Source organism: Homo sapiens, chromosome 13 (genome assembly GCF_000001405.40).
Source record: "Homo sapiens chromosome 13, GRCh38.p14 Primary Assembly".
NCBI classification, from domain to species: domain Eukaryota; kingdom Metazoa; phylum Chordata; class Mammalia; order Primates; family Hominidae; genus Homo; species Homo sapiens.
In genome coordinates, this window is record NC_000013.11 from 95,994,595 (window position 1) to 96,021,336 (window position 26,742).

At 36.5% G+C, this 26,742-nt stretch overlaps 1 protein-coding gene across 10 annotated transcripts in view, besides 1 other annotated feature; it reads right to left on the reverse strand.

The window, feature by feature from the left end:
• Window positions 1-26,742, reverse strand: part of UGGT2 (UDP-glucose glycoprotein glucosyltransferase 2) — a 251,822-nt gene that overhangs the window by 193,015 nt on the left and 32,065 nt on the right. For 9 of the 10 annotated variants that reach the window (XR_931617.2, XM_047430471.1, NM_020121.4 and 6 more), the window contains exons 5-7: window positions 18,713-18,887; window positions 4,617-4,713; window positions 1,469-1,541 (exon numbers count right to left, since the gene is read on the reverse strand). Coding sequence is in view for 8 of the 10 variants with exons in the window: in XM_047430471.1 (XP_047286427.1) it covers window positions 1,469-1,541; window positions 4,617-4,713; window positions 18,713-18,887 (345 nt within the window). In the remaining 2 variants the exon portion in view is untranslated. Of the gene's footprint in view, window positions 1-1,468; window positions 1,542-4,616; window positions 4,714-18,712; window positions 18,888-26,742 lie in introns of those variants that run through there. The other variant, XM_047430473.1, reaches the window with a different exon arrangement.
• Window positions 19,988-20,488: an enhancer, noted in NCBI's record as "H3K4me1 hESC enhancer chr13:96666836-96667336 (GRCh37/hg19 assembly coordinates)". NCBI's record gives its function as "activates a minimal SCP1, AML or CMV promoter by ChIP-STARR-seq in primed H9 embryonic stem cells {active_cell/tissue: H9 hESC(primed)}" and the evidence as "EXISTENCE:reporter gene assay evidence [ECO:0000049][PMID:30033119]".

Genomic DNA, 26,742 nt, shown 5'->3' on the forward strand with positions numbered 1-26,742 from the left:
AAAATGCTTTATTACTAAATTATATTATTTTTTCTCTCCAAATTTAAAAACTTCCTAAACAAGTATGTACTATACCAATTATTTACTTGACTTTTATGGCAGCTGTGTTAGAATAAAGAAAAGTACTACTTTCGAATATGGGAAATCATAATTTGTATGGTGATAGCACCATATAGTGCAAATGAAGAACAGGATCAAAAAATGCTACAAGGCTAATAAATATTTAACAATTTATTTGTTGCCTTATGTTTGTTGTTTCATGTCTTTGAGGTTTAGCCATTCTATAAATGAACTTTATTTATGGGACAAATAATTTATTCTGGGTAAAAGGAGAAAAACATGCATATTTAACAGTTACCAACCATAGGTATCGAAAGTCTTAAATTTCAAATTTTCTAGTTATCCCAGGGATACCACCAGAGTTTCAGAAATAAAATCCCACTCTCAATGTAAACATAACAGTTGTATCTAATGAAAAAAACTTCCATCTTTAAGATTAATATGAAAATAAACTTCGACAGTAAGTAATTCAATATGTGGCAAAGGTTTCAGAATTTTTTATAAAGAGCTGTTATAATTAGTAAAAAAAGATAAACACAGCAAGAACAAATGAGCACAAGTTAGGAATAAGCAATTTACTCAAGAAGAAATTCCAAGGCCAATAAACATGAAAAAAAGTTAATCCTTGCAATAATAGACTGCCAATAGTTGACTTTCTTGGAGACAAATTATAAAATTGGTTCAATCCAGTGAATTAAATACACTTTTTTAAAAAAAGAAACAACATTTCATTTATTAAACTGAAAAAGATTTTAAAAATAGTATGAGTGGTTATTAATTAAAGTTCTGGGAAGTGAACACATTTCACATTCTGGGGTGAGTGTCCATGTTAGTACAATTTTATGAGGGTAGTTTACAAGTATGAATCAAAAATTTCAAGAAGCACATATACTTTATCAACTATTTTCCTGAAATTTGTGCTAAGGAAAATCTGCAATACACACAAACTGGTACACAAAAAAAAAATTAAATGAAAAAGTAGGGAAAGAATTTAAAGTCCTGTTCTATGGGACTGTTTCAATAAATGATGGACTATCCACAAGATGTGAAAAAAACAGCTACACACTATGGTTCTACTGTGCAAAACAATATGTTGTGTATGCATTTATTTGATGCTATAAAAATATTCACAGAAAGACTGGAAAAACATACTGTACACCAAAACATTATGAGTTATCTCTTTAATTGTGAAATTAGTGATTATTTTTAAATGTGCTTTTCTGCTTTCTGTAGCTTTTTGACATTAGCCATGTGTTACTTCTGTAATAAATAAAAACAATCGTATGTGTGTGTGTTTGTACTTTCTACATAAAAGAAAGGTGAAGCATATGGCAAAACAGTATATCAAATTAATTCCTTAAAAACCAATGGGTATAATAATACCAATTTCATTTCCATTCAGACTTACTTTAGTTTCCCAAAGAGAAATCCTTGAACTTCATTTGTTTCAGTCTCATCCTCTACAGTAGTATTAGTCACAGCTACATTTTGGAAACAAAACCAAAAAACAACAAAAATATTTTCAGACTGGGAAAAGAACATGTAATCAAAAATTAGAAGAACTTGGCCAGGTGCGGCAGCTCATGCCTGTAATCCCAGCACTTTGGGAGGCCGAGGTGGGTAAATCACTTGAGCTCACGAGTTCAAGACCAGCCTGACCAACACAGTGAAACCTTGTCTCTACTAAAAATACAAAAATTAGCCAGGTGTGGTGGTGTGCGCCTGCAGTCCCAGCTACTTGGGAGGCAGGAGAGTGGCTTGAGCCTGGGAGGTGGAGGTTGCAGTGGACTGAGATCGTGCCACTGCACTCCAGCCTGGGTGACAGAGTAAGACCGTGTCTAAAAAAAAAAAAAAAAATTAGAACTCACAATGAAATGAAATTCCATTCGTTTTACCTTGTTTTTCCTTCATGGACCAGATTAATACATATATATGCATGTGTACAGGCTAACATTCCTAAGTGTGAGCTATCTTTTTTAACATGCTTGATTAAATACTTAGCAACTATAATAAAGTGCTTTATAGATTAGTTAATAGTCAAGTTCTATTTCATAATCAGAAATAAGCCAAAAGGCCTGTAACAAATGCTGGGTTTAGCTTTTAAGTGAGGCAGGAGGTCCAAACCCTAAGTTTAAATATGAGTTCCTACATATTTCCAACACCTTTAAAGATAATCAAGGAACATTTAGAAAGACACCAAAACTCATGGTCTCAAAGAATAAAGATATAATATTTTATAGTCATTTCCCTTCTCCCTTACATACCAAATAATTATACTATACAGTCTGGTTGGTGTAATATGTGAAGGGTGCTTTAGGATCATAAAGACTGTGACCTCTTATAGTGTGTGGGGTGGCTCTCTATCAGAGTTTATCAGAGCTCAGCAATTACGCTTACTCTTTCTTACTTTTCTGAGACTCTGAATCTCTAGGACTATAAGTAAAAGCAACCCTGGGTACTTTGATCTAGTCATCCTTTTCCTCTTGTTTGTTCATTCATTCATTGGGCAAACATTTATTGACTGCTTACTATGAGGTGTCTATGACAGGATAGACACCAAGAACAACAGAGACACAAAAAATACAGACCATGAACTTTTCTAAAAGAAGGCACAGAAAGATATGGGATATAGAAAAGAGAAGAGCATTCTCTAACAGAGCAGCAAGATAGGCAGCCATCTCAGAGGCACAGACTGATATATTTATTAGTCTGGCCAGGTGTGGTGGCTCACGCCTGTAATCCCAACACTTTGGGAGGCTGAGGTGGGTGAATCACAAGGTCAGTTCAATACCAGCCTGGCCAACATGGTGAAACCTCGTCTCTACTAAAAATACAAAAATTAGCCAGGTATGGTGGCAGGCGCGTGTAATCCCAGCTACTCAGGAGGCTGAAGCAAGAGAATTGCTTCAATCCGGGAGGCAGAGGTTGCAGTGAGCTGAGATCACACCACTGCACTCCAGCCTGGGTGACAGAGCAATGATTCCATCTCAGGAAAAAAAAGAAAAAGATGTGAAGTCTTTAGAAGAAATGAAAGAAGTGAAGACAGCGGTAGGCAAAAGGAACAGCATATGCTAAGGGATGAATGTAGGAGAGGTCATAAAGACTTCCCATGGAGCCCATGCATAAAAGCATCCAGGGAACAGAAAATTATTCTAAATAGTAAGTAGTTTAGTGTTTCAGGCAAGAGGACACAAATTAGAGAGGGCTGAAGGACAGTAAAAAGGCAGTAAGAAATCAGATTGTGAAAAGCTTTGTTTGCTATGTTCTGAATTTTTGAGAGAGGTTATAGGGAGCCACTAAAGGATTTAACCAGTGGAATCACAAAGTCAGATTTTCAACATCAGAAGTTCATTTGGAAAGTACTGTGGAGATTAGATTGATTAATCTGTTTTGAGGGGTGGTGAGATTAAGGGCACTGAAGACCTAAGATCAGAGAGATGGCTAGTTAAAGGTCTGATACATGTATACAGAGAAAAAAAGAACTGCACTAAGGAGTGGCAACTAGAATTGACAGGCGAAGACATATTCCAAGTGTGTGTAAAAGGTTGATGACAGAATGCAGTGCATAATAATACAGATGATACATATGTGACCATCTGACTTTTTAAAGCTAAAAATGCCTTAAATTGCTATCGTGACTACAAGAGAGTAAATTATAAAGCATTGTAGAGCTATACACAAGCTATAGAGAAATACATAAAATCAGAGTATTATTTTTACTATACTTTTTCAGTAACTCTTTAACCAAAAATATTTAAATTACAGTAATACGATCTTTATCTGAAGCACATTCAGTAGGAGGAGCCAGAGAGAAGTCTGTGATCAAGGCAGGGCCTCTATATGAAAAAACAAAGTTGAAGCAGGAGCCTCATCTGAGTGCATATAGAGAATAAACATAAAACTCTTGACCAAGAATCAGGCATAAATAAATTTGACATGAACCAGGTAATAAAAGACTTCCATAAGTGTTCTGAGAACTTGTTTAGTTTATTTAAGTCTTCAGAGTCTCTTCATCTAGAGTATGCATTTAGTTCATAAAATACAGATAGATATTGGTTAGTAGATCACAAATCTAATGAATCTACTTCATCTAAACAATTCATAGGACTCTCTCATCCTGCTTCAGGATAGAAAAAAAAAAACTACCATCCTAATTTCATTTCAAATAAATATTTCAGACAAAACTTCCTTACATGGGCGAGACCCAGATGCCTATGCCAGTCACCTCTAGCAATAATCAGCCTCATCTATTGCCACAGTGTACCTTACATATACTATCAATTGTTACATGGTGCTGAAATGGTTGGGAGCCCATCGGGTATCAGCAAAATAACATACGATTTCATATTTTTAAAGAAATTTTGATAACCAATAATATTAAATACATTTCTTTCAGCTGAAAATTTAATTCCAAATTTTAATGAAGAATATGTCCACCCCATCTCTAGCCTCAAATGAACATATGTAGGATTATACTCATTAAATTTTTAAAAAACTAAAGTATGTAAAAGCCTCCAACTTTTCATTCTACTCAAGTACTGAGATAGAGAACTTACTTTTAACTTGGGTATCATCCAGTGCTTTGTATTCTGTACTCTTAATTGCTAGCTCCACACCATACCCAGATAAGTACATTTTCCGTGAGCTTGGTTTCTGTTCAAACACATTTATTTTATAAAAAGCGAAAAGAGTTAGTCAAACATTTTGTTTTAAAGTCAGTACCACGATGTATTTGGACATAAGGGTAAATTACTAATATTGAAGGTTTTTAATCACTCTGAAAAATTTGGGGGTTGTTTATATTGTCTCTAGTCTATCAAGGAACTAGAATTTGGTTAATGACTACTCTGTAAAAACTTTGTCATGACTACTGTTTTAATTACTTTTTAATTTTTACAATTAAAATAATAAATATCTGATCTTTTCCTGTTATAACATGTCTTCAATGAGTTAATTAAACAGAGGATCCAATAACAGACAAGTTTCAACAAAACTGTTTTCCTTTTTGGGGACCCCCAAAAGATTTGCTAAACCAAAAATCCTCTTCACTTGCTGGTTGTCTAGATGTAGGACTAGAGTGCTGCCAAAAGCAAACACTGGAAAGTAGTGGCAAAGGAGACAAAAAAAGTTAGTGCCGTGAAATACCTGATAAAAGTTTTCTTTGTTTCTCAATGATTAAAATATACCAAATGCCACAAATTAACATCTGTTCTTGCAATAAGGGGCTACAGTTCACTAAAACAGAGTGGTCTGAAATGTTTATGATCAGAATTTTAGTACCTTTATTTTATTCTTTCTACAAAGGGCAAATATTAAATGTACTCCTAGAGATTACCTCATCAAACAAGAGAAGTCACCATATTTTATTCAAAAGGAAGAAACCTGGATGAACACACATAATAGTTTTAAAGTTGTTCCAGCTTCCAGACTGAAATTCTTGTTGGCTGTACTGCAACCATTATCATTTGGCACATCTCAAGGGGTTAGAAAACAACTTTAACCTAGAGCTCAGCAAACTCCCTGGAAGAAGCCATGTGTCTTTGCTTAATTCAGGTTTGCACAGGGACAGTTTTGCATGATAGAGGAAAAGGTAGAGATTGGAGGGAAGGAGAACTTTAGTAGTGTGTTATTCTTTGTATTCTCTTCTTTCCTCCCTAAACTTTCTACCAAGCCTTATTGATATGTATATGGCCAGAGTGACTGTTCTTTGGCCTGTTCTATTTCCAGGTAAGAATATGTAAAAGTTAGCTTCAGCTATTCAGACAAATACTTAACATTGCTGCCCACACTAAAATTTAATTTGCTAATTTCTCAGGCCCACATTATATGAAAGATAGCATGTAGAAACTGGGTTATTTCTAATTACAGTAATCTGACAAAGATGAAAATTTTTTAGAGTTTTCAATTTCATAACAGCTCAATTTAAAACTACATTTTGAATATCTAGTCAAAAGACCAATCAGTTGGTGGCTAAGTGAATCGAAACTATAAGGCCGTATATCTTGTTATAGTTCATAAAAGAAATGCAATTTCACATAGCCAATTTCCATTATCAGTTCTGGAAAGTTATTAGCTCCTCAGTAATAAAAATGTTCCTAAATTCATATTTACTTTCCTCATTTGGAAGTGTGTTGATATAAAATTTGAATTGTAATTTTGTAGTTTTAGTAAGTTTGGATTTGCAAACCAAACTACCAAATCAACAGGTTAAAAAAAAAAATCTTTGTTTTTCTATTTCCCCCACAAAAAGGCATATGTTAAAAATGTAGCATAAATATGTCTATTTTTATTAGAATTACATGTTGACTAGATTTACATTATAGTTATTTTGAACATAAAAGATGTCATTCATTAAATATAAGGCTATAATTTGATGTTACTAAATGCCCAGATAGTTAATATGATTTCACAGAAGCACACTTAATGGTCACATTCTCTATGTCAGGCCTCTGAGCCCAAACCCAAGCCAAGCCATCGCATCCCCTGTGACTTGCACGTATATGCCCAGATGGCCTGAAGTAACTGAAGAATCACAAAAGAAGTGAAAATGCCCTGCCCCACCTTAACTGATGACATTCCACCACAAAAGAAGTGAAAATGGCCGGTCCTTGCCTTAAATGATGACATTACCTTGTGAAAGTCCTTTTCCTGGCTCATCCTGGCTCAAAAAGCTCCCCCACTGAGTACCTTGCGACCCCCACTCCTGCCCTCCAGAGAACAAACCCCCTTTGACTGTAATTTTCCTTTACCTGCCCAAATCTTATAAAACGGCCCCACCCCATCTCCCTTCGCTGACTCTCTTTTCGGACTCAGCCCGCCTGCACCCAGGTGAAATAAACAGCCTTGTTGCTCACACAAAGCCTGTTTGGTGGTCTCTTCACACGGACGCGCATGAAACTCTAAATAATAACTTGAGACAGATTCTCACAACAGATGGGCATAGCTCCCCAGGGGCATGTTAGAACCACTTGGGAGAACATTTAAAAAAGACAAACACAGACAATTAACAACAACAAGGTTCATTGCACAGGTTTACTTACAGATTTTCTTATAAATTTTTACAAGAAACAGATATTTTATAGATATCTACTTTTATAGACAGTTACTTATAGATTTTCTCCCACCTTGCCACCTGAAACAGCAAGTCCAGCCTCTCCTCTTCCATTTCCTCCTCAGCCTACTCAACATGACTATGAGGATAAAAACCTTTATGATGATCCACTTCTATTTAATGAAAAATATATTTTCTCTTCCTTATGACTTTCTTAATAACATTACTTATCTAGCTTACTCTACTGTAAGAATTACAGAATAATACATGTGACATGAAAAATATGTGTTAATTGACTGTTTCTGTTATCAGTAAGGCATCCAGTCAACAGTAGGTTATTACTACTTAAGTTTTAGTGGAGTCCAAAGTTATACATATATTTTTTAACAACATGAGGGGTCAGTATCTCTAACTCACACATGCTTAAGGGTAAACTGTACTTGTATCTCCCACTCCCGTTCCTATTCTCATTTGCCTCTCAGCTCTGCCTTATCTGACAGAGAATCATAGTCTTAAGGTGCTACTGTTATTGATGGTAATGTATCCATCCTTCTAGCAAACTCAGTTGGGAAAAATTGAGAATTCTTGGCATAAGATGATTAGACAATATAAAATGTTTTGAGTGCACACTCTAGACCCATGACTCTCTGTCCTCTTCTTTTATATTTATCTTTTCTGAAAACACTTTCATCACCATCTAACATAAATCTGTTTTACATCTCTTGCCACTAAAATTGAAGTTCTCTGAGAATAAGGAATGTTTCTCTCTTATTCACTGCTACATGAACCAATGCCTGGCACAGAGGCATCCAAATATTTATGAAATTAATGACTTAAATATGTAATCATTTACAAACTGTACACACACCCACACTTTCTCTTTACATCTCACTTTACAGATAATCTTTATGTAGATTATGCAAATATCTATATGCCAACACACTCAAGAATATTTAAGATTTTCCACTTTTACTAAATAGCAATAACTAACTCAAAATTATACAATGAACAATTAAAATTGAGAATGTGAAGAACACTGAGGGAAAAAACACATTTTATATGATGTTATTGTAGGGCAAGTCCCCAAAAGATCTTGGCAACCCAGCTCTTCCTCGCTTTCTCACTTGTAAATCTCAGAATAACTGTAGAATGATGTGCTGGAAATGCAAGAAATATGAAGGAATTGCCAGTAAAGCCAAGCTCTGTTCCCATAGCTCCTAGAACAGGATGTCTTGCAATGCTTTAGCACAGCTCATCAAGTTGCTCCTAGGTATAAAACCCAGGGCAGAGCAGGCTTTCAGAGTTCCTTAGCTGCGGTGCAACATGAATGACGTGCACGTGAGACTCCATCCATCCTGGACAGCTATCCTAAGCTTTGGGGGATGAGCTTGCCATGAATCCTTAGGTGTCTATTGTCCCTTGCTGCCTGTCTGTGAGTAATAAAGTTGCTTCCCTAAACTTATTGTGTGTTCTGTCTCACCAGACTCATGCCAGTGGATTGATACTGGTACACAGTATTGGCAAGGTGTTTACAGTCCTCCCCTGGGATTGATACCAGTGCACAGTGAACCTGCATCATAAAATTATCAAATATATAAAACAAAATTAAGATACTGAAATAAGCTACTTATCTTCTATCACCAGTACTAAGCACAGTGCCCAAATTACAGGCATTTGTGGAAGATTATTATAAAGGCCACAAATGAGTAACTCCTTCCCATGTCCAGACTCCTTTGCAATGTGACCTTGCTACTTCTCACCAGGAAATTGAGTCTATTTTTCCATTCTTTTGAATCTGGCTGGCCTTGTGACTTGCTTTGACTAACACAAGGTGGCAGAAGTATCACTGTATGAGTTCTTGGGCATAGGGCTTAAGAGGTATTGCAAGTTCTACTCTTTTCTTTTTGGGACCCTAAGCCATCATGATGTGAAGAATCATAGTCTAACTCTTGGAAGATGAAAGGCCATGTAGAAAAAGACAAGAAACTCCAGCTATCAGCCTGAACTGCCACACAGGTCTGTCAGAATAATTTGAATCCCCAAGCTCTAATCTAGTACTGAATGACCCTCACTGCATGAACAATACCAGCAGAAAAAGTGCCCCGACTGTCAACCCACAGAATAAAGAGAAACAGTAAGTCAATATTTCCTTAAGCCACTAAATTTTGAGAAGATTTGTTACAAAGCAATTCAGACACAGACACAGCATCTAATAAATGTGCATGGAGGAAAGAAAGAAGGAAGAGATGACAGATTCCTCTAACAAATTTCTAATTCAAAGAATACCTAGTTTCCTCATAAATAGTAGTAACTTAAGAGATTTTCATCCTCTACAATCATATATTACTGCTTTCAGAAGTTATAAGATAGCTTCAATCAGCACTAAGAAACTTAAATTTTGGATTCCCCATGTAAGCAGCAAAGCTATCCCCAGGTAAGCAGCAAAGCTATGGTATCTAAGCAACTCTAGGAAAAAAAAAAAAAACATATTTGTTTTTAAAATTTTTTATTTTTAATTATTATGGATACAGAAAAGTTGCACATATTTATGGGGTATATGTTATAATTTGATACAAACATACAAAATGTAATGATCAAATCAGGGTATTTGGGATATCTATCACCTCAAACATTTTATTATTTCTTTGTGTTAGGAACATTCCAATTTTTGAAGTCAGGGAGACAGAGACTAGAATGATGGTAGTTACCAGAAGATGGAAAAACTAGTGGGGATGTGGGGATTAAGAGGGGATGGTTAATGGGTATAAAAATACAGTTAGGAAGAATAACATCTAGTGTTCAGCAGCACAATCGAGTGACTATGGTTAATAATTTATTGTTTTAGGGTACATGTGCACAATGTGCAGGTTAGTTACATATGTGCAGGTTAGTGTATACATGTGCCATGCTGGTGCGCTGCACCCACTAACTCGTCATCTAGCATTAGGTATATCTCCCAATGCTATCCCTCCCCCCTCCCCCCAAAGTATAATAATAATAAATGAAAAAAAGAACAGAAAAAAATGTAATAAAACCAAAAAAATAATTTATTGTATGTTTCAAAACAAGGAAAAATAATTTTATAAGCATTGTATCCTTATTAAACAGCCACCTAGTTATGACCTCCTCTCTCAGAACTAGAATGTCTCATCTTTCTCTTTCTTCAGTGGACAGATATCAGAGGGCCTCAGAATCATATGCTATATATTCCCAACCAATGTGCCAGATCTAACGAAGAAAGATCTCTAGGAGTGACAGCACTTTATTATTTAAAAGAACACTCCAATTGGTGTTGGGGTAGAGAATGAGACTGATAATGGAAAACAAAATAATCTTCAACTTTATTTTTAAAGTTTTATTACTTCAATTAAAAAATAAACTTGAAAAGATAAAATGTTAGCTGTCAATTCTGGGTAGCATATACAAAAAGTTTATTATTTTTAGGCTTTTTGTATTAGAAAATTTTCTGAAGAAAAAATAAAGCAGAAGGAACGAGAATGATAACAGAAGAAAAAGGCACCTGTGGGAAGGTGAACATTTGAATACCCAGGACAGATACCACCAAATGCTAGTGAAGCTGGTAAAGATATTTAGCTAGAAATCTATAAAGCTTGCTAAAGGCTAAATGTGGGCTAACGTGAGAGTGTGAAGCCCCTGGTAGCTCCAGACATAGCAAGGCTGAAACCCTCTTGCACAGGGAAGACTGGGGAAGGTCCTGAGAAAGCTTCCACTCTAATGGTGACAGGTAGAGAGGAAAGAAAAATCACTGCTGAAATCCACTTCAGACCTATCTCCCCTATAGAACCAAAGCCTTAATCTTCAGAGGCAAGGGCAACAAAATTGTAGCTATATAGTGTACTGGTGGAAGCCCACTGAAGACGGGAGAAATGGAACAGATGAAAGTCTTAGTCTGAAGGAAGGACGGGAATACCTGCCAGGCCCAACATTCTGAGAGAGGATCAGAAACCTTGAGGCCCAAATTTACAGTATGCCTAGAAAGGAAACTTAATTGGAACATCAGAGAATATCCCCTTCCTTAGCTGCCCCCTCACCTTCACCTCAAGGCCAATCTAACAAGGGTTGAGTAAAGATAACGCTGAAATACAGGTGGGAAAGCTATAAGAAACACATTGTCTTTGGGGAGCTGTACAAAGGGAAGATCCAAATCTAAGTGGGGAGACCTAAAGCCAAGTGGAACACAAACGTGAAACCCAACCCAACTCCTGACCAGAACACCTCAATCCTGCATACATGAAAGGCATGGCCTAAACTAAAGGCAGGGTCAAGGCTCCTACACAAAATGTTGAGCTTTTAATAACAACGAAAATCACAAGATGTCCAAGAAGTCAATGGAACAAAAGTCTGAAGAGACAAATCAATCAACAATTTCAAAATCAGATGTAAAAAAGAAGTTGAAACTTTCAGGAGGGAATTTAAAATAATGATTAACATGTTAAATGCTCTAATGAAAAAAGTAGAACATATGAGTGATCAGAAAGGAAAATTCATCACACATATTAAAACTGTAAGAAGGAGCCAAATGGCAATGATAGAAATTAAAAGCACTGTAACAGAAATAAAGAATGCCTTCAACAGAGTCACAAGTAAACTTGATATAGCCAAAGAAAGAACTGGCTGGCTGGGTGCAGTGGCTCATGCCTGTAATCCCAGCACTATGGGAGGCTGAGGTGGATGGATTGCCTGGGGTCAGGAGTTCGAGACCAGCCTGACCAACATGGAGAAACCATGTCTCTACTAAAAATACAAAAACTAGCCAGGCATGGTGGTGTGTGCCTGTAATCCCAGCTACTTGGGGGCTGAGGCAAGAGAATCGCTTGAACCCAGGAGGCGGAGGCTGCAGTGAGCTGAGATTGCACCACTGCACTCAAGACTGGGTGACAGAGCGAGATTCTGCCTCAAAAAAAAAAAAAAAAAAAAAAAAAGAATTGGTTAACTCCAAGGCAGGTCAATAGAAATTATTCAAATTGAATTTAAGAAGAAAATGTAGTAGAGAAAGAAAGGAAAAAATCCAAAAAGCAAACAACAGCAAGAAACTGAGCAGAACACTCAGGAGCTGTGGGATAGTACCACACATGGGAAACATCATGAGTGTCTAAAGGGAGAAATATGCCTCAGGACAAAGACAAAGAGGAAAGGCAGGACTGCCATCCCCAGTCTTGGAAATTCTAACTCTGCTCTGTAACTTGAAGAGGAGAGAACACCTCCAAATTCATTCTAGGAGGCCAGCATTACCTCAATACCAAAACAAGACAAGGACACAACAAAAAAAGAAAACTATATGCCAATATCACTAATAAACACAGATGTAAAAATCCTCAACAACATATTAGCAAAATGAATTCAGCAACAACTTAAAAAGATCATGCACCATGATCAAGTGAGATTCATCCCAGGGATACAGGATAGTTCAATATACACAAATCGATAAATGTAATACACCATATTAAAAGAACCAAGAACACAAAAACCATATGATAATTTAAATATGTGCTGAAAAGGCATTTGACAAAATTCAACATCTCTTTCTGACAAGTCCCTCCCCCCCAACAAACTAGGTATAGAGGGAACATACCTCAAAATAATTAAGGCCATATATGACAGATCCACAGCTAATATCATATGGAAACAGGGAATAATTGAAAGCCATCCCTCAAAGATCTGGAACAAGACAAGAATGCCCCCTTTCACTATTTTTATTCAACATAATACTAGAAGCCTTAGCCAGAGTAATAAGGCAAGAGAAATAAATAAAGGACATCCAAATTGGAAAGGAAGAAGTAAAATTACCCTGGTTTGCAAACAATATGATCTTATATTAGAAAAACCTAAAGACTCCACCAAAAAACTGTTTGAACCAATAAATGAATTCAGTAAAGTTGCAAGATATAAAATCAATATACAAAATTCAGTACTATTTATATACACAAATAGCAAACAACATTCTGAAAATGTTACAACAGTTACAAATAATATAAAATACCTAGGAATTAATTTAACCAAAAAAGTGAAAGACCTACATTAATACAAAGAAAACTACAACACTGATGAAAGGAATCGAAGAGAACACCAAAAAATGGAAAGATATTCCATGTTCATGGAAGAATTCATATTCAGACAAATGCACCAATGGAACAGAATAGAGAACTCAGATGTAAATCTACACATTTGGAACCAACTCATCTTCGACAAACATGCCAGGATCATACACTGGGGAAAGGACAGTCTTTTCAATATGAAAACTGAACAACCATAATGCAGAAGAATGAAACTAACTAGACCACTATCTCTCACCATATACAAATATCAAATCAAAATTGATTGAAGACTCAAATATAAGACCCAAAACTATGAAACGACTAGAGGAAAATATTGAAGAAATGCTCCAGGACATTGGTCTGGGCAAAAATGTTTTGTGTGAGACTTCAAAAGCACAGGCAACACAATTAAAAATAGACAAGTGGAGTTAACATCAAGCTAAAAATCTTCTACACAGCAAAGGAAACAATCAACACAGTGAAGAGCCAATCCACAGAATGGGAGAAAATATTTGACAAATACCCATCTGACAAGGGATTAATATCAGAATACATAAGGAACTTAAACATACCCTTTATCACCACTCCTATTCAACATAGTCCTGAAAGTCCTGGCCAGAGCAACCAGGCAAGAGAAAGAAATAAAAGGCATCCAAATAGGGAAAGAGAAAGCAAACTATACCTGTTTGCAGACAACATGATTCCATATCTAGACAATCCCATAGTCTCTGCACAAAAGCTCCTTGACCTGATAAACAACTTCAGCAAAGTTTCAGGATACAAAATCAATGTACAAAAATCACTAGCATTTTTATACAGCAACAACATCCAAACTGGCAGCCAAATCAGGAATGTAATCCCATTTACAATTGCCATAAAAATAAAATACTAATGACCACAACTAACTAGGGAGGTGAATCTCTACAATGAGAATTATTAATACAAAACACTGCTCAAGGAAATAAGAGATGACACAAACAAATGGAAAAACATTCCAGGCTCACAGGCTGGAAGAATCAATATTGTTAAAATAGCCACACTGCCAAAACAATTTACAGATTCAAGGCTATTCCTATCAAACTACCAATGACATTCTTCACAGAATTAGAGAAAGCTATTTTAAATTTTATATGGAACAAAAGAGCCTGAATAGTCAAGGCAATCCTAAGCAAAAAGAACAAAGCTGAAGGCTACAGTAACCAAAACAGCATGGTACTGGCATAAAAACAGACATACAGAGCAACAGAACAGAATAGACAGCCCAGAAATAATGTCACACACCTGCAGCCATCTGATTTTTGACAAAGCTGACAAAAGCAAGCAATGGGGAAAGAACTCCCTATTCAATAAATGGTGCTGGGAAAACTGGCTAGCCATATGCAGAAGACTGAAACTGGACTCCTTCATTATGCCATATAAAAAATCAACTCAAAATGGATTAAAGCCTTAAATGTGAAGCCTAAAATTATAAAAACCCTCAGAAGATAACCTAGGAAATACCATTCTGGACATGGGCCCTGGCAAAGATTTCATGACGAAGACACCAAAAGCAATTGCAACAAAAACAAAAATTGACAAATGGGACCTAATTAAACTAAAGAACTTCTGCACAGCAAAAGAAATTATCAACAGAGTAAACACGCAACCTACAGAATGGGAGAAAATATTTGCAAACTATGTATCTGACAAAGGTCTAATATCCAGAATCTACAAGGAACTTAAATTTACAAGCAAAAAATAAACAGCCCCATTAAAAAGTGAGCGAAGGCTGGACGCAGTGGCTCACGCCTGTAATCCCAGCACTTTGGGGGGCTGAGGCAGGCGGATCACGAGGTCAAAAGATCAAGACCATCCTGGCCAACATGCTGATACCCCATCTCCACTAAAAATACAAAAATTAGCCGGGCATGTTGGTGGATGCCTGTAATCCCAGCTACTTGGGAGGCTGAGGCAGGAGAATTGCTTGAACCCAAGAGGCGGAGGTTGCAGTGAGCCGAGATCGCGCCACTGCACTCCAGCCTGGCGATAGAGCAAGACTCTGTCTAAAATAAATAAATAAATAAAGTGAGCAAAGGACATGAACACTTTTCAAAAGAAGACATATGATATGGCCAAAAAGCATATAAAAATATGCTCAATATTACTAATCATTAGAGAAATGCAGATCAAAACCACAATGAGATACCATCTTGTATCAGTCAGAATGGCTACTATTAAAAAGTCAAAAAATAACAAGATTCTGGTGAGGTTGCAGAAAATAGTGAATGCACATACACTGCCGGTGGTACTGTAAACTAGTTCATTTAAAGCAGTGTGGCAATCCTCAAAGAACCTGAAATAGAACTACCATTTGACCCAGCAATCCCATAACTGGGTATATACCCAGAAGAATATAAATTGCTCTACTATAAAAACACATGCATGCATATGTTCACTGCAACACTTTTCACAAAGCAAAAACATGGAAATCAACCTGAATGCCCATCAATAGTAAAATGGATAAAGAAAATGTGGTACATATACACCACGAAATACTACACAGTGCATGCCGGGCTTAATTCCTAGGTGATAGGTTGATAGGTGCAGCAAACCACCATGGCATACATTTACCTATGTAACAAACCTGCACATCCTGCACATGTACACCAGAACTTAAAAAATTAAAAATAAACCCTTCCTCTAATATGACAGTTAATAGTAGAAGACCAAATGCTTTCTCTGCAAATCAGGAAAAAGGCAAGGATATCTTCCCTCACTACTCCCCATTCAACATTGACTAGAAGTCTTAATCATTAAAATAAGGTTAAAAAAAAATAAATGGCATATAGGTTGAAAAAGAAGAAAAACACTGATGAAAGAAATCAAAGGATGTCTAAATAAATCAAGAGACATAATTTTCAATTGGAAGACTGAATATTTTTAAGATGTTCTCCCACAAATTTAATTTATATGTTCAATGTAATCTCAATCAAAATGCCAGCAAAATGTTTTGTAGATACAGACAAGCCGATTTTAAAGTTCACAAGAAGAGACAAAGGAATTAGATTAGCTAAAACAATTCTGAAAAAGAATAACAAAGCTGGAGGACTAACACAACCTGATCTCAAGGCTATCAAGGTAAAGTAATCAAGCAGTGTAGTATTGATGTTGGGACAGACAGATCAATGGCACAGAAAAGCAAAGCCAGAAATAGACCCATACAAATACAGTCAATTATATTTTACAAGTGGATAAAGGAAATTCAATGGAGAAGGACAGTCTTTTAAACAAATGTTAAAACAACTAGATATCCATATGTAGAAAAATAAATCTCAACATCTATCTCACAAGTTGCACAAACCTTAAATGGATCATAAACCTATGTGTAAACATAAAACTATAAAACGCTTAGAATAAAATCTGAATGACCTTGAGATTGGTGATGAGTTTTTAGATATAATACAAAAAATATAATCTATAAACAAAAAAATGATGAACTGGACTTAATCAAAATTAAAAACTCTTCCTCTGCAAAACACATTAAGAGAATTACAAGATAATTCACAAACTGGTAGAATATGTTTGTAAATCATGTATCTCATAAATGATTTATATCTAGGACATAAAAAGAATTCTGAAAACTAAACAAAAAAAGTTCACCAAAAAGAAACTTATGAAAAGCCAGACAACTTCATTAGTCATTAGAGAAATGCAAATTAAAACCACAATGAGATACCACTGTGTACCTAGAACAGCTATAATAAAAAAAACTGACATTAACAAATGGTGGTTAGGATTTAGAGCAGCGAAATTATCTTTCCTGGCTAAGGGGAATGAAAAATTGTACAGCCACTTTGAGAGACAGTTTGGTATAGTTTATTATGAAGTTAAACACTGACTTACCATACAACTCAGCAATAGAACTTCCAGGCATTTATCCAAGTGAATTGAAAACATATGTTCCTACAAGAATCTGTATGTGAATATGATGGTACTAAGGTGACTGACAGATGACTCTGTGTGATTGTTGAAACCCAACATTGTACATCACAGATGATACTTTTCAAAAAGACATCTGACTAGATTGTGAAATAAAAATATGTTCATAGAAGGCAAAGCTCAATATATATGAAGAAAAAGTCTCTTCAAAATTAATCAGAAAGGTCCAATTCATTCCCGTATGAAATCCCAACATGTTTCATGGAACCTGGCCAACTAATTCTAAAATTAACATGGCTACATATCATGCAAGAACAGCCAAGGTATTTAGAAAAACAAAAATTAAGAAGCAGAGTTGAACTACCAGATATCAAAATATATTTTAAAGCTACAGCAATTAAAATGATGTTATTTTTGTGTAGAATAGACATATATATCACTGCAACAGAATGGAAAGTCTAAAAACATATACATGTCTATATGAAAAATTAGCATATGATGGAGTAGAATAAAGACTTGACTGTTCAACAAAGTATGTGAAGACCAATAATTTTTCATATGGAAAAAACAGAATTATATCTCTACCCCGTAGTATATTCAAATAAATTCCAGATGGATTAAAAACCAAAACAAAAAATAGAACTTCAACTCTTACAAGAGAATGTCCTTATAACAGCATAAAGGAAATCGTTCAGGTAAAGTTGAGTAAATCTGACTATATCACAAGTAATATTTGTAAAAGATGTCATAAACAATTTTTAAAAAAAATCAGAAGACCAGAAATGCACTAGGAGAAGATACTGCGAAGTATGGAAGAAAATATTAGTATTCAAAATATATTAAAAACACCTATAAACCAATGAGAAAAAAAGAATCTCAATTCAAAAATAGGCAAAGGCTACGGACAGGCAATTTACAAATATATTTTTAAGGTTTTAATTAGATTAAATATTAGTATATAAATCTTAATAATTTGGGAAATGCAAATTAAAGCACTCCATGTTGGGAAGACAGTAGTAACAAAGCATAGTCCTTCCTCTAATGGCCATTATATTCATACGCATGTGTGTGTGTGTGTGTGTGTGCATGTATGTGCTCTGAAAGTGTTAAATAAACTTGAGGAGATACAGTAATAAGTGCTATGAAATCATTAAAACAGAAAAATGTGATAGTGTCATAGCAACGGCAGGCTAGAGGAACGGGAACAATACAGCACATACCAGATACCTGAATGAAAAGTAGTCAGGTCTCAAAAGAAAGAGTTAACAGTATTCCAACACCATGCTTTGCACTTTGATCTAGTACTGTATATATTAGTATGTTGAGTAAATCAGATTTCTTAATTGCAAATTCTTAGCAAATATTATACACATTATTGAAGTATGTTTTTGTTTTTTATCCAAGTTTTAAATTTGTGCCAGATATAAGGCAAAGAATTATAGACATCATACCCCCAGAAGAGACAGAATCCCAATATATTTTTCCACATGAAATTCACATTTGTTAAGTTAAAAAAAGTTAGATAACTATTCTGGTGAAAATTAATATTTAAATCTAGTAAGACGATTATCATAATAATTGTTTTTTTCTACAGCCAAAAGCAACCTTGGAAAAAACAAGCGCATACCTGAATATAATGGCGAAGAACATACAGAATTTCCTCATTTTGAGCTTTTTCAGACAATACTTTGTGAAATGCACTAAATGTTCTAGTACCCATTTCGGCATAGAGAATCACCACTGGTAAGTTCTCTTTGTTTGTAGGAAATTTGTGATCTCCTTTAAATAGATAAGGTCTAGTCCTAAGATAAAAGCAAAACACAAAGTTTTGAAAAAACTGAAAGTTAATGGCATATCAATTCTGTATAATTACTGCTTATCAAACAATTCATAATATACATAATCACAGAAAAAGAATTTAAATTTCCTGTGATGACTTTGTACACATAACTTGAACTAAATGACAGAAAAGAAAGAAAAGAATTTGGTTAACCCAAATCTAATATTAAAAATACTTTATTTCCCAACAAGGTTTATTATCTTTAAACAATAACATATAATGGCAGCACAATTTTCAGTGAAATAAAATTTATATTTTATGCAGTTAGGTTATAATTTTTCATTACAGCTCATATTTCCTGAAAACAAGGTATAAATATTTAAGGCACAAAGCAAAAGTACTACCTTATTCAAAGACTATCAGTACTTAGTATGAACAAGTACTCATCAAATCCCCAAGTATAAGCAAAGAAACCAGGACTCTTATGGTCTAGCATTATCATCAGAAACAGACTTTAACTGACTTCTTATTTGCCAGGCACTGTGCTAGGTTCTTTACACTTATTAGTAAATTCTATTTCACAAGAAAAATTAGACAGCTACCATCACTGAAACTTTTAAGTTTCTGAGGCTCAGATAAGTTAACTATTCAGGAAAAGATCAAATGGAAAGCCAGAATTTCAACTCATGTTTATGGAATTCCAAAGCCCATATGTTTTGGCAATTTATACAGGTAGAAAGCAAACCAAGAGATAAGGAAGTTCAGAGTAACAAGGATGTTGAGAAATAACCTTTTATTTAGTGAATTCTGATCTCTACAATCATTCAGTCAATTACTACCTTTGGATAACAAATATTAAGGACAGAAGAAAAAAGGTATGAGTAACATTCCTACAGCACGTTAGTGAAAAGAAGGTGGGTTTTGAGATCAGGCAGAATTGGATTCAATTCTAGCTTAACTACTTACTGACTCAACATATTCTAAATCAAAATCATTCAAGCATTCAATCTTATTGACTAACAGAATAATTTGAGAGATTTCCACAGTTATTTGGCTTAGAATTTGTGCCATTACTCAACAGCAATATAGAAATGTTACTACTGTCAATGCTTGGACAGCTGAAGCATAAAGTAAATAGAATCTTAACCCCAAATAGAATTTCACTTCATTATTAATCTTCTGTAACCGATGAAGAGACATGAATGTGCAAAACAAGAGACACTGAATTTGCTGTCTTTCTTCATGAGAGGCTATTAATAAATGCTAAAAGGATACAAAATCATACTTCACTTTGAAAAGAGAAGTGAAAGAGATTCTTGCATGAAACTATTAAAATTATTCTCATAAATTTTAACTGAAATCTTGGAACTCAAATGTCACTTATATAGCAGCTGGATTATCATTTTATAAACCTGATTTTATCAAATCAGTATCATAGAAGTACATTTAGTAATTTATATAAGGAATCTTAAATTTTAATTTAAGCCTGAAAAATTCTTCCTTCAAAGAATTTACTACTGTTGAAAACTAGAAAGGCGGCCAGGCGCGGTGGCTCAGGCCTGAAATCCCAGCACTTTGGGAGGCCGAGGTGGGCGGATCATGAGGTCAGGATATCGAGACCATCCTGGCTAACATGGTGAAACCCTGTCTGTACCAAAAATACAAAAAATTAGCCGGGCGTGGTGGCAGACGCCTGTAGTCCCAGCTACTCGGGAGGCTGAGGCAGGAGAATGGCATGAATCCAGGAGGTGGAGCTTGCAGTGAGCCGAGATCGCATCACTGCACTCCAGTCTGGGCAACAGAGCAAGACTCCGTCTCAAAAAAAAAAAAAAAGAAAGAAAACTAGAAAGGCTGCCAATAAAACTATGCTAGGAGATAAATATTGAGGTTGAATATAAAAGGAAAAATTAGAGGAAATGGAATAGACTTTACACACAAAGGTAAGGGCTCTCTACCATTTGCTGAGTCTGTAATCGACAGTACCTTCCTTCCTGTACCTATAGACACATAACTTTCAAAATTTGCTTTTATGATTATTTCAGGAACTGCTTGGATATATCATAGGTAGAAAAATTATACCTATAGAGGATGGCTGGATAAGAGGAAAATGATCTTTGAAAATTAAATAATTATATTTAAAAGTAGCAATTTACTGAATTGACTAAGGTGTTAAAGAGAATTAATACAAATTAGCATTGGTAAAAATTTTAGAAGTAGAGTATAAAACTTCAGCTTTCTGAAGACAATTTTGTAGTATACACTTTAATATACATGTACTTACCTAGAGATTTTAGTTCTAGAAATTTAAGAAAATAACCAAGGTAACTATGCAAAGATATATGTACAAGGAAGTTCAATTAGATATTGTTTACTGTAAACTACCTATATATACACCGCAAGGAGTGGAATAATGAAACTTATTTATTCATTTCATTACGGTATCACTCACTCAATATTTTTCAGCATCTACTACATGGTAGGTGAACTTTTTGGGAACTGGAGTAAAGGTCACCCTTGTTATGCCTTAGCAAATAACTTGGCTGCATTGTGCTTATGCCCTAGGGATCTGTGGAAGTTTGAACTTAAGAGGGATGACTTAAGACGTTTGGTGGAAGAAATTTCGAAGCAGCAAAGTATTCAAGAAGTGGCCTGGCTGCTTCTAACAACATATGTTCAGATGTAGGAGCAAAGAAATGGCTTTAAGTTGGAATTCATATTTAAGAGGGAAGCAGAACATAAAAGTTTGAAAAATTTGCAGCCCTAGCCAGAAAAGAAAAAGTCCATTTTCAGGGGAAGAATCTAAGTGGGCTATTGGGCAACCATTTGCTAGAGAGATTTGCATGACTAAAAGGGAGCCAGGAGCTGACAGCCAAGACAATGAAGAAAAGGCCTGGAAGGTATTTCAGAGATATATGAGGCAGCCCCTCTCATCATACACTCCAAGGCCTAAAAGGAAAGAATGCTCACTGCCCTGTGCCATGCCAGCAGGTTGCAACTTGCATCCAGCTGCTCCAGTTCCAGCCTCGGCTCAAAGGGGCACAGGTAAAGCTCAGGTCACAGCTCCAGAGGGCACAAGCCATAAGCCCTGGCAGTTTATACATGGTCTCATGTCTGCAGATGCTCAGGAGGCAAGCATGAAGGAGGCTTGGAGGCCTCCATCTAGATTTCAGAGGATGTATGGAAAAGCCTGGTGCCCAGGCAGGAGCCTGCCACACAGGCAAGGCCCCCACAGATATTCTACTAGGGCAGTGCATAGAGGAAATGTGGGGTTGGAACGCCCACACAGAGTCCCCACCTGGATACTGCCTAGTGGAGCTAGTGGAGGGGGGGCTGCAACCCTTCAGAACCAAGGATGGTAGATTCACCAGCAGCTTGCACCTTGTGCCTGGAAAACCCAGAGGTACTCAACCCCAACCCATGACAGCAGCCACGTGGGTTGTATCCTGCAAAGTTAGAGCGCTGGAGCTGCCCAAGGCCTAGGGAGCCCACCAGGATGTACATCACGATGTGGGACATGGAGTCAAGGATTACATGACAGCTTTAAGATTTAGTGCCTGCCTACTGTGTTTCAGACTTGCATGGGGCCTGTTACTCTTTTCTTTTGGCCGATTTCTCCCTTTGGTAACGGGAATGTTTACCCAATGCCTGCACCATCTCTGTACCTTGGAAGTAAATAACTTGTTTTGATTTTACAGGCTCATAAGTGGAAGCAGATGAGTCTCAGATGGCACTTAGGACATTGGACTTGATGTTGGAACGAGTTAAGACATGGGGAAGAAATGACTGTAATTTGCAATGTGAGAAGGACATGAGATTTTGGGGGCTAGGAAAAGAATGACATAGTTTGGGTATTTGTCCCCTCCAAATCGCATGTTGAAATGCAATTCCCAGGGGCCCCCCTTACTCTCTTGCTCATGCTCTCACTATGTGACGTGCCTGTTCCAGCTTCGCCTTCTGTCATGGCTGTAAGGTTCCTGAGGCTCTCACCAGAAGCCAAGCAGATGTTAATGCCATGTTTGTACAGACTGCAGAACCATAAACCAACTAAACCTCTTTTACTTATAAATTACCCAGCCTCAGGTATTTCTTTATAGTAACACAAAAACAGCCTAACACATAAAATCGGTACATACCAGTAATTTTATTTATTTACATGTAAGAACACAATAACTTTGTGGGAGAAGGATCTAAGATACCCTTTATAGTACAATAAATGTTTTTTTAAGTATGTCTGTATATGCATATATGCATTAAAAAAGAACATATACTAAACTGTTAGCAGAATTATAGGCCATTTTCCCTTTCTACTTTGCATTTTTCTAAAGTATTTGAATTCTTTTATAATGACCATATGGGATTTTTTTAACTTTAAACATACAGCTTTCCATTTGGGACAAAAGTTTAAAGCCACAAAAAAGATGGTCATATTGATTTGAAGTGGCATTTGGAGAGCAGTCCCTGACACTAAATTTTACAGTATCTCCAAAAATATTTACAAAGACTCAGATACAAAAATTCTTAATGAAGTTGCAAACTAAAAATAACTTTGTATCATACATAAATTGGGAGTAAAGTCTACTAACTATAAAACCTATGCTGTTCAACTTAGAATCATAACTGACAGTCAACTACCACTTAGAACAAGAACATGCTAGTAAAAAAAGAATAGTAAACTGATTCTTCATCTCTCCCTATTTCCTATTCCCTGGTTCAAAAATCTATGGTCTGGAACTGCCCCAAAACTTTATAGACATAATACGAAAATGTGAATGAAGATCAGGAGTGGTAGCTCATGTCTGTAATCCCAGCACTCTGGGAGGCTGAGGCAGGCAGATTGCTTGAGCTCAGGAATTCGAGTCCAGCCTGGGCAACATAGCAAGACCCCGTCTCTACAAAAAATACAAAAATTAGCTGAGCATGGTGGTTTGTACCTGTAGTCCCATCTACTCAGGAGGCTGAGGCAGAAGTACAACTTGAGCCTGGGAAGCAGAAGTTGCAGTAAGCCAAGACTGCACCACTGCACTCTAGCCTGGGCACTAGAGTGAGACCTTGTCTCAAAAAAATAAATAAATAAAACAAAATAAAATATGAGTTATATATCTGGGGGAAAGTGACAGCAATCATTACCATCCTAAATGAGTATAACTTTCTCCCAGTGGTCACTCTACTTTCCAACATGTAAATAAAACTACTGTTAAGAAGAATTTTACGAAATTGGGACAATGAGAATATCACATAGTAAAGAAAGGCAACATTGATGACCTAAATATGTTATAATTGAAAAAAAAAACAAAAAAAACACAAAAAACCAAGTGTTTAGCTCAACCACAGACAGAAGAAAATACATAAATGCAAAACCTATTAGAATAAAAAAGCAGAAAAAATTTATCAGTCATTTCTTTAAAAAAAGATAAAAACCTAATCTGGAAAAACTGAAAGAAAATGAAAACTAAAGAAAATCTAGGAAGGAGAAACATATCTACAGAGAGGAAAAAATTAAAATATTTATATTACTATACATAACCTATGTAAAAACATAAATTATATGCTTAAATAAGAAAAAAAAACCATTGACCAATATTGATAAGATATCACAAACCCAAGAGTATATGCCTGAAGTTCACAAAAGGAAAAAAAAAATTATTAACTTTGCCCTACATAGCGGGGGGGGGGGGGGGGAATGTTTCTGTCAGGCTGTAGAATTGTTTTACCCTACTTACAAGCTAATAAGTTAGCTTTTCATTGTTTCATGGATTCTGGCAAAAGACAGAGATTTCTGAGTCAAAGAGCTTGATTACTTGTGGCACAGCAAGCAACATGAACATTAGTATGTTTACATGGGTTCCCCATGGGCCCACATTCCACAGGGAGAAGTATGATGGACCCACAAGAATTCTACACAGGCAGTGGGTATGGATCACATCTAAAGAACACTGAATGTGGGAAACCCATCATTTAATAACAAGCAGTAAGTAAGTTGCCCTTTGTCCCAGGGAGAAACACTCACTTATCCCTCAAAGTCACTCACTGAAAACACCCCGAGAAAAGGCCATGGTAAAGAGCAGTCAGGGCCTCACACGGTCTTGGCATAGTCAGTTTGTCTCTATTCACACTTATCAGGGAATGGGTCTATAATATGTACATCTAAAGGAGTAAACCAGACTGTCAGATGGGCAAGTGCAAATTACTTTCACAGTGTGCAAGCCCCAAGGAGTGGTATTTTTAAGCTGCCCATCTGTAGTCTTCCAAGTGGCAGACCAGACAGGTAGGCCATTGGCAACAGCACAAGAGTCAGTATGAATGTATTATATTTAACCAAGGGGTCAGATTTTGTTCAGGGAGAGGATGACGGCCTTGAGTTCTGCCCACTGAGTAGAGTGACCACTTCAGCTTTTGGTTTTACAAGGCTTATGCCTGGTGAAATGGTAGCAGAGGCAGCCCGAAGAGCCCACCAGCTGTTAACTTAGCTAAACGTCCCAGCAGCCTGGCCCAGGCATTTAGGGAAACCACTGTGAACTGAGGGCCCTTTTGAGCCAGTGACCTTACTTCAGGTAGTGAAATGGGTTATTTAGTTCACTCCCAAAAGAGTAGCTGCCACTTTTTCACATATACCTGATACCATGCTAGGGCCCAGAAGCTGGGCTTTTGAATATATAATTTCCATTTGAGCAGGGAGGCTTATTGGGTCCCTTTTACCTTGCGAGACACTGACTCCTAGTTGAACTACGTGAAAATGTAAATGTCATGTGGTAGAGTCACAAGGCCTCCATGGGTCAGGCATTCAGTTTCAACAAGAGCTTAAGAACTGCTATTTTAAAAAGGGGTGTACTAAGTGGCTGAGTCAGGCAGGTGGCACTATTGTACTTAGAAACAGTCTCTCGGGGTAGTCCAGCAGCTATGAAGTCTATACAAAGTTGTGATTGTCCTTTCTCCTCCTGGGATTGATTCTTTGTTGTTTCTGCTGGACCACCTGGGGGTGTCCATGTGTGGTAGTCTCTGAATGACAGTTTCCCTCTGGGCTTCACAAACATTGACAGCATTCACAGTATAAGCATGTAAAATACCAATACCAGTTATATAATCAGAGCCAAAACAATAAACCATTAAATCAGTCAAGTTTGAGTGCCTTTTCCTTAGGAGCCCAGATCAAGGAACATGTGTCAGACTACAACACAGTTATCAGGAGACTACCATCACCCACCAGGAGTACAGGGAGAAAGAGGTGAGCAGTGGGAAGAAATGTAAGTATTGACCTTTTTCTTCTCGACCCATGGGCCCTTACGAACTTCCTCTTCCAGAAGCTGTGTGTCAGTCAACATCCCACCCATGACAGTCTCCAAAACTACCAAGAACTGTAAAAGTCTAAGGTATGATTTTACCTGACTTACAAACTAATAAGTTAGCCTTTTATTCTTTTATGGATTCTGATAGAAGACATAAGACAGACTCCTGGGTCAAAGACAAATGACTTTACTGCTCATGACATAGAGCAAGCAGTATAAGCGTTACTATGCTTGCCCCCAAAGTCCCACAGGGGGTGACAAAATATGGACTTAGATGGATCCTACAGAGTTGGCATATGTTTCCGTTAAGGAACACTGGGCTTGGGGAAGCACTGTTTTATAGTAAGCAATAAAACACACTTGCTCCCTGTCCCCAATCCCAAAGGCAAACATTACCTCATTCCTCAAGGTTGCTCACTGCAAACACAACCCTGAGAAATGGCCCAGGTAAAGAGTGGTCAGGACCTTGCATTTTTTGCTGGTCAGACCAAGAAAGAACATGCAAGGACTCACAGGGCCCATGGCAGATGGACTTTCCTAATAGTTTGATGTTAATTTTTTTGTAATCTTCAAGATACTTTAGTTTCTATAATT